Below are 9,417 nucleotides of genomic sequence, written 5' to 3' on the forward strand. Positions count from 1 at the left end.
GCTTCTACTAGAGATTTCCCATTTCCAAGCATCCCAAACAGTGCAATTTTTCCTTAACCGTTCTTATGATCTACCCACTACCTCACATATTGACTACATTTATTTGATTTTAGTACTATATAGTCTCCTAAAAGACTTGATGTTTATAGTAAAAATAAAAGGACATATAGTAAAGAGGAGTCAAAGACCAAAGTCAACAAATAAAGGGGGAAGGAAAGGTCATAAGAACAAAGCAATAGAAAGATCAGCCAAGTTTGAAATTCAATTCAACAAGTGTTGACTACAGATATCTTTCCAAATGTAACTTACCCACCAGTATAGCGTGGAGGTTAAGAGGGTTGCCACTTACTAGCTGTAACCTGAGGCCAAGTTACTTCACGGTTTAGTGCCTCCATTTTCCTATCTGAAAACTAGAGACGGGGGGGGGAAAAAAAACCTTTCCCAGAAATTGACACAACTTCAAATTATTGTCTATCTCTCTCATTCCTAATCTAGTAAAAGTTCTTGAAAGAGAAGTCTAGGAGAGGGGAAAGAAACCAACATTTATTATGTACCTACTGTAGATTAACTCTATAAATTATGCATTTAGTCATCATAAACTTGTGAGAAAACATTTTTATCAATTATATAGACAAAATGGAGTCATGGAGGCTCCAAGGCTTAGATCAGAAGTTACAGGTGACCTCAGATCTCCTCTCTTGCGATGCATACCGTGGAGTCATGCTCCACATAGTGGAACTCCTAGGCTCCCTGCCTCAGAATCACTCAAAACCAGTCACTTGTTAAAACCAATGATTCCCAGGCCCTCACCCAGACCTATTTAATTACAATTGCTTGATGGTAGTGGTTTTAATAAGTCACCCACCACCATGATTCCCCTGTACACTCAAGAGCCATTGACTCAGTGGTTAGGAGAATGGACTCTGAAGTTGGGCCTGGTCCTGGTGTCGCTATGTTCGAGGTGTGTGACATTGGGCACATTACTCAACTTCTCTGAGACTCTTTACTTCATTCCAAACATGGAGATTACAGAACATCCTTCATATGGTTGCTGCAGTGATGAAATAATGAATGTCAGGTGCCAGGTTCAGAGTCTGGCACTTAGTAAGTATGATCATTTCCTTCACATGAGAATAACTTAATTTCCTCTTTGCTTTCTCATTCAACTTCACAATTCACTGTATTTGCTTTTAAGTGGAATCACTTAAATGATTCCACCATTTAAGTGAAATCAGCTGAGCAAATATGACCTCCTTGCTAAATCCAATCGCTTCTTTTCTGTTCTCATGTAGTTTTCTATCCACTCTGTCTATCACTTGTTCATCAGAAATGTATTGTGGCTCTGCCCTGGGCCATGCCCTGGGCTAGGCATAAGGAATGCCATGGTGAATGCAGCAGGCATAATCCCTATCCTCATGGAACTTTCAAGCTTGTGTTGGGGACATGGATCTCTATAAGTAACCACATATAAGTGTAACAAGTTTTGATATGAAAGAAAAGAACAGAGTGCCCTACAAGCGAATGACAGAAGGGACCTTTTGTCATAGAGGATCAGGGAAGGTCTGAGACCTGAGAAAGAGCCAAGTATGGAAACAGTCTTTCACACAGAAGGAACAGCAGCAGGTAGGAAGACCCCTGAGGTGGAAAAGAGCTTGTCACATTGGAGGAAGCAAAAGAACATCCATATGGCAGGACAAGAGGAACGGTGGTATGAAATAAACCTGTAAATAAGCATGGGCTTAACCGTGCAGAGCCTCGTAAACCATGGTGAAGGTTTGGGTTGAATTCCAAGGGCAACTGGAGGCCATGGGAAGACTTTGGGCTGGAGTATGATCCCATCACTGTAGCAGTGATTTGGAGAAAAATTAGAAGGGGATTAGAAGGGAAGCTGAAAGATCATTGGGTTTGCAGAGGCTTGGATTTGAGTACTGGAAGCTGAGATGGGAACAAGTGAAAGGATTGGGGATGAATTTTTGGTGGAGAATTGAGAAAATTTGGAGATAAACTGGATGTGGAAGATAAAGAAGGAAGAGGTGCCAGGAATTACTCTCAGGGCTGTTTTGAACAATGAGCCATTTACCATTTTTGGTGGAGCCATTTACCAAGGGGAGGCACTAAATCCCTCTCTGGGGAATATAATATAATCTTTACATTTCTAAAATCTTCCAAATGACTCTGATGGCTGACCCTATTTAAGAAGGCTCAATCTAGAGAGGTGGCATAGAGAATAATGGTTACATTTAATGGCTAGTCATTATATCTTTCTTTGGAGGTAGCTTGTCTTGTTCAAACCTAGTCATGAACTGGCCATATCACTGGGAAAGTTAGTTTAATCATCTATAAAATGGAAATAACTGGTTCATATGGGTATTGTAAGATATTAATCTTATAAAACATTTGGAGTACTTCCCAGCTACTATTTTTAGATTATTCACTTGAATAAGCCAGGTGTTTTCACATCTGTAAGCTTTAGCTCATTCCCTGCCTTTTGCTTGATGTGTTCATCTCCCCTTGTGAAAATTTTCTATTTGTTATTCAGAGATAGCTTTCCTCTGACTGGTACCTCAAACCACCACCCATCCAAGCCAGTCATCTGGACCATTTCTCCTGCTTGCATGGGCTCACTGTTCTGTATGGATTCTTCCACCATAGAATTTACCACATGGGTTAGAGTTATTTATTTATTTATTTTTGGTCTTCTGAACAAGACTTAGAACTTTTGGAGGTTGCTGATCTTGTCTTATACAAATTTATATCCACAGAACCTAGTCTGTTGTTGTAGCTTGAGGCACAGAATGAATTTGATGGATTTAATTGAATTTAACTAAATTAAAAGCATAATACTCTCAGGGAACTCATCTCACAATCTAAGCCTCTTGCTTAATTAAAGTAGCCTGTGAATGCAGTCATAGCAAGCTACAGCCAATGTATAGAAAACATTCACCCTACATGGCTATTTAGGCCCAAACTTAAGCCTAAACCAGTCATGCCAGGCATAACACCTTTCTTATCTGTCTCTCACCTCTGCTTTGCTCTTCCTGAGCAATGTGGGGCCCATGCCTTTCTGAGGAACAGAGGAAGGAGGAAGGTGGGGTGGGGAGGAAGAAATACTCCTACAACTTTACAAAACCTTCCTTCACCCCTCAATGCAGGAAGGAAGGTAGAGAGAGTGGCTGTATGTGCTGTATTAACAGGCATGCTCAGGCTTGTTTGAGTCCTTACTTTTTTTTTATTTTGTTTTGTTTTGTTTTTATATATATATTTTTTTTTATTATACTTTAAGTTCTAAGTCCTTTCTAACCACCTGACTTTGTGCGGAAGGTCCAAACACCATTAGGCAAACCCCAGTAATGTTACAAGCACAGTGACCTATCCCAGAGCAACTTTTTTAAGAGGATCCGTGGTTTTTACCACGCCTTTGAGTGGAAGCAGAATTTGAACTCTCTCATACTAATTCTTGTGGAGCCTTCAACCTCCATAAAGTGTGCAGGAGGTACTCATCATACATTTTAAACTAAAATAATTTGATTAAGCGTTTGGGTCTCTGAGGGAAAAGTTAAAGAGGACTCTTCACTCTATTCTTTAATTTCGAGGCAAATGGACACAACAGGAGGTAGTCTGACATGTAAAAATAGAAACCTTTACAGCCAAGCAGATCTGGGTCTAAATCCTGACTCATTTACTCTTTAGTTCCGTGCTCATTAAAGTTAATAATGATGACAATGATGATAATCACTAGCACTTACATGTGCTTACTACATGCCAGGCTCTGTTCTAAGTGCCTCGCATGTATCAACTTATTGAAGATACCACCACCATATTTTATAGTGAAGGAATCTGAGGCACAGAAAGGTTTTGTAATGGATACAAGTTACTAAAGAGCCGAGCCAGAATTCAAACCCAGGCAGCTGGGCTGCAGATATCCATGCTAATATACACTGTGCTTCCCTGACTCCCACGTACCTCTGGAGCACAGCGTCTGGCTTTCAGAATCTGAGTTTCCTTCCCTGTAAAGTGCATATGATGAGGCCAACCTTGGTGAGGCCTGAAGGAGATAGTGTACATTGAACCCTAGACACCAGAGGGGCACCCACACTAGAGTAGGTGCCTCTAATGTCAACTTGTACACTCACAATGTCCTATCAGATTTCTAAGTAAACTCTAATAAAATTCTGAGATGTCTAGAGTGCCCAAGAACAGCAAATGTGTGGGTGGACTGAACAAATTGGGGTTTTGAAATTTACTGTTTAGAACCTTCCACTGATCCAGAAGGCAGTCATAGTCTGTGATGCCCACTATCTCAATATTTCTAAATTAACTATGTCTTTTGTTACAGGCTAGAAGCCCACCAACTGCTAACAACCAGCTGGAGGGTAAGTCAAAAGCTATGAGAGCCCAGAAGGAGAACAATTATTTAGACCTGGAGGGGCCAGTTGGGAAAGTCTTTGAAGGGTCTTCAGAAAATGGACCAAAAGAAAAGAGGAAAAGTCATTCTACTGAGAGGTGTTTGTGTAATCAAAGCAACCGAGGCCTAAGAACTCACAAAAGATTAGAAAAGGGTAAAGGATGCCTGGAAAGCCGGACTAGGAAAAGGCTGTGAAGGGCCCTGAAGGTCACATGTCACATGTTGCCTGCAGCATGCAGAATCAAAACATGATAAATCATGTCTTGAATCATGACATATGAAGCATGACACACGAATCATGACATGTGACATGTTGAATGTCACATGTCACATGCCGTAGGCAGCCATCAAGAGTATTTGAAAGGAAAGTGTATAATCAGGCCTGTGCTTTAGTAAGACAATTTGTATAGTGTTCAGTGTGGATTAAAATGGAGAACACAGGTATCAGTTTGACATCGACAGTACAGGAAACCATTTGGGTTTCTTGTACACCAAAATATTAAAACATACACGCAAACACACCAACACATTAAAATCTTGAGAGAGAGGGCCAAAAGTTCTTTGTCGCTGGACTAAAAGTGGAAATAAATGTTTACAACCTCTAAGGTGGATTAAGCTAAGAATTTGGAGTTGTTGGCAAAACTGCCACATAAAATTTCAGACATGCAAAGAAATGCAATCGTAGACTTATGCACATACTTCCACCAGAGAAGGGAATCTGGGCAGAGTGTTCAAAGCTTAAGAAATTCCTTTGCTCTTCACCAAGAAGAGCCAACAGAGTTTTCGTTGAATCAACTCTTATATTCCCTTAAAAAGAAGTTGATAGTGTTGTGGAAAACTCACCCATTGAAGTGACAACAAAAACAGCAACCCAGTATGAGTTAACTGGTATTATGTTAAAGGGACAAGTAACTGCACTTTTGACACACATCCTCTAAAAGGTAGGGTGGGAGTGTTTCAAAGAACCAAGTCTGAGTAATAGAAAAGCATATACCACTTCCCCATATACACGTTCGAGCATGGGGGAGCAGGAAGCTGGGTAATTGAATGCAGTTGTGCACACTGGCAATTTTCCCGCCACATACCATTTCTTCGGTGTCTCTCCCAAAATTCTCCTCCTAAGTGGCACATCCCTTTATTGATCATCTTTCCCCATACTGATCATCCTCAGCAATCATGTGAGTTATTAGTCTAAGTATTTGTTTTTCTCAAATATGGTCTTTTAACTACTCCCTAAATATTTTATATATACATAGTTTGTTTTCCCAATTTAACTACAAGCATTTAAAAAATGGGAATATTTGTCTATATTTCTGTAATTTTTCATCATGCCTTATATGGTATATAAAGATCAACAGCAATAAAACAACAACAGTAATAATAGCTAAGACCTTTTGAATACTAACTGTATGTTCAGCATTATTTCAACAGCTTTACAGGTATTAACTGATTTAATTATTACAACAACGGCATGAAGTAGATACTACTGTTGTCATCAGTTTATACTTGAGGAAACTGAGTTATGGGATGGTTAATTATCTTTTCCATGGTCACAGAGCCATTAAATGTATGATCTCAGACAGTCTGACACCTGAGCTGTGCTTCAATGTACCTGTTAAGATATTCTTTTTCTTGAATTCAAATTCTGAAAGGAAAACAGAGTTGAAAAATCAGAGGCCCTAGCTAATCAAGTAAAGTTTTGCTTTAAAAACAGCAAAAAACAATCTTCCTAAGGTCTCTGCAACATTTTGTGGCCCATCACAGAACAGGGTCATCTTTGACTTCTACACCAAGGAAAATGTGGCTTTTGGATTCTTGGACAGAATCTACTGCATGGCCTCTATCTTCATATGCCCTTGCTGGGATCCGAAGATAATATGAATAAAGTAGATATAGTGGAAGTGAGTAGAAGAAACATCCTGAACAAAAAACACTTGTTCCACTTGGCCAGCTACCTATATTCTCATCAAGGGAGAGTTGGCCACAGGTAATACCACATCAAAGTGCAAACTCTGGATCAACTTGCACTTTTACTTATTCCTACCTTTGACACACACATAGCATAACATGTATAATTCTTATTCTGGGCATAGTTGGTGGTAGGAAGGTTTTTATACATTTGAGATTCTATTTGGTGAGCATATGGTAACAACACAAGAAATGTGCCATCAGACTACTGTTCATCAGCTTACGAAGATGGCTACAACAATTCTTATGATTCTTGTGCACATGTTTCTTTGCCATGCAACTTTGTCACCCCTTCCCATCAAGACATAGAGTCCATTTCTTTTTCCCTTTAATTTGGCCCTGTGACTTGCCTAAAACCAACAGAAGGCTGCAGAAGGGACATCATATGACTTCAGGGTCTCAGCACCAAAAGGCCTTTCAGCTTCTGCTTTCAGGCTGTCATTGCTGTGAGATAGGAAGCCTGGGCCAGCCTCCATGAGAATGAGAGACCACACCTGGTCAACAAGGAGAGCCAACCTTCAGCCATGTGAGTGAGACCATCCAGCCTCAGTTAAGCTGCCAGATGACTGAAGCCAGATAAGTGGCCCCAGGCAAGACCAGCAAAACAGCCAACTGGCTGAGCCCAGCCCAAATTGCTAAGGCATAGCAATTTAGGACAAGATAAATTCTTGTGTTTTAAATCAGGATTTGTTATGGAGAAATGGATAACTGATAAAGCTCCAAATCCTAACTGAGACAAGAAATTCAACACCTTTTATATTACCATGATACAAACATTATTTTCTTAATAGTCATCATTAAAGCTTTGTATGTTTAACTGCCCTTCCACTACTACAACAGCTACTGTGCTGGTGCATTCACATTCATGCATACACATAAAGACACATTCTCCAGTTTCCCAACTAGTTACTCATATACTCTTTTGGGCTTTCATTTCTCAATATTGCTATATTTCCAGCTCAGTCCGTTTAACTAGCTTCATTCCCATATATCCAGCTCTTCCTGTCTATGAAGAGTAGCTTACCATTACTTACTATGTGCCAGGAACTGTTTCTCACTATCACTTTATCAGGCAGATAGTTCTCTATCAATAACTACTGAACAGATGACTTCATCTAGTCAACCATGACATTAGAATCAATCGCAAGATAGAGATAGGAATCAAAGAGAAGAGATAAATATGTTACCCTTATTACTTATTTTTAAAATATTTATATTGGAAAATACGATTGCGACACCTACTAACCCACACAAACACAAGAACATTTGGGCAACCACAGGCCTCCTCCAATGCAGATTGGTGTGTGAAAAACTTACAGCATGGAGGATTAAAAAATGTATATTCTCTGAAGGCAGATATGCCCTTCCAGATACAAGAAAATGAATGAACCATTAATGCTGAGTTCTTTCTCCCAAGCTGACCAATCAGTTGTGACGATTCCTCTCCCCTAGGAATAGTCACTCTTGAGAAGTCACAATTGTAACATCGATGGAGGTTTCCTATAGAAACATAAAGACTGGGGATTATGTGTTTCCCCTATAACAAATTTTGTCCTTATCTTGTGACTTTCCATTATGTTTCCAGCCTCAACATCTTCCCTAAGCCTCAGAATTATATGTACACCTGTCTATTCAGTCTCTGCTTGGAAGCCTAATGGGTATTTCGAACTCAATATGTCGAAGAGGATACTCCTCATTTTTTTTTTTAACTATCTCTTCACTCCTCTTTAGTTTGCTAGGGTTGCCATAACAAAATAAGGCTGGGAAACTTAAACAGCAGAATTTTATCCTCTCACAGTTCTAGAGGCTGGAAGTCCAAGATCAAGGAGCCAGCAGTGGTTTCTCCTGGTATCTCTCTCCTTGGATAACTTCTCACTATGTCCTCACATGGCCTTTTCTTTGCACACACATATCTCTGGTGTCTCTTCCTTCTTATAAGGAATCAACCATATTGAATTAGAGACCCACTCTTATGATCTCATTTAACCTTAATTACCTCCTTAAAGGCCCTATCTCCAAATATAGTCACATTAGAGGTTAGGGCTTCAGTACAGGAATTTTAGGGGTAGGGCACAATTCAGTTCCTAACAACCCCTCTCACAATCTTTCCTATTTTAGGAAATGGCACCACCACTGATTAATTGCTTAGGCTAAATTTTAGGAATCATCTAAGATTCCTCTTCCCCTCATACCCCACATCCAATCCATTAGGAAGTTATGTGTGTTTTACCAATTTCATATCCCACCACCTCCACTATGGACTCCAGGTTTTGCCATCTTGTTCTGCCTGCTCTACTGTAATAGTCTCCTAAATGGTTATACTGGTTCCTTTCCTGCCCTGCTACAGTCCATTTCTCACACATCCACCAGAGTCAATCAGATACCATTGAAAGTAAATCAGATACCATTGCTTCCCTAATTTGCAATCTCTAGTGACTTCTCATTATGCTTAGAATAAAACTCAACTCCATTTTACAACCCACATTCATCTACCCTTGCCCACCTCACCATCCTTACTACATATCACTCTTCCCCATCATTCACTCAACTCCAGTCACTTTGGCTGCCTTGACTTTCTTCAAGCATCCAAAGCTCACTTTGGTGTCACAACCATTGCATGTGTTCGTCCTTGTCCATCCACCTGGAACTCTCTGGATGTGTCTCCCCCCTTTTCATTTCACTGATATCTCTGCTCAAATGTAACTTTCTTAATAGAGCTTTCCTAACTCTATTTTAAACACACCTCATGACTTTCAACTCCTTTACCTTCCTTTATTTACTTTCAAAATATTTACAACTGCTTGAAATTACATTGCATTTTTATTTGTTTATTGTCTAGTCTTCTCCACTAGGTTGTAAACTTCCTGAGACTTTTTGTTTCTTGCTGTACCTGTAGCACTGAGAAGGGTCCTTGAAACAAAACAGACCCTCAACACATATGCATTGAATGAAAATAATTTATGCAATCTAAATCATTCTGATTTGGAAATTTGATCATGCCACTTCCCATCTTAAGCTCTCCAATGGCTTCTCATTCCTCTGTG

General features: G+C 39.8%; 1 long non-coding RNA gene across 7 annotated transcripts in view; it reads left to right on the plus strand.

Moving 5' to 3' along the window:
• IFNG-AS1 (IFNG regulatory antisense RNA 1) overlaps positions 1-5,788 on the plus strand; it is a 31,867-nt gene extending 26,079 nt beyond the window's left edge. For 6 of the 7 annotated variants that reach the window (NR_186228.2, NR_104124.3, NR_104125.3 and 3 more), the window contains one exon: positions 4,337-5,788. This is a non-coding gene — a long non-coding RNA (IFNG regulatory antisense RNA 1). Of the gene's footprint in view, positions 1-2,539; positions 2,667-4,336 lie in introns of all 7 variants that reach the window. The other variant, NR_186227.2, reaches the window with a different exon arrangement.
• The last annotated feature ends 3,629 nt before the right edge of the window (positions 5,789-9,417 follow it).

The sequence above is a fragment of the Homo sapiens genome, chromosome 12 (assembly GCF_000001405.40).
Source record: "Homo sapiens chromosome 12, GRCh38.p14 Primary Assembly".
NCBI classification, from domain to species: Eukaryota; Metazoa; Chordata; class Mammalia; order Primates; family Hominidae; genus Homo; species Homo sapiens.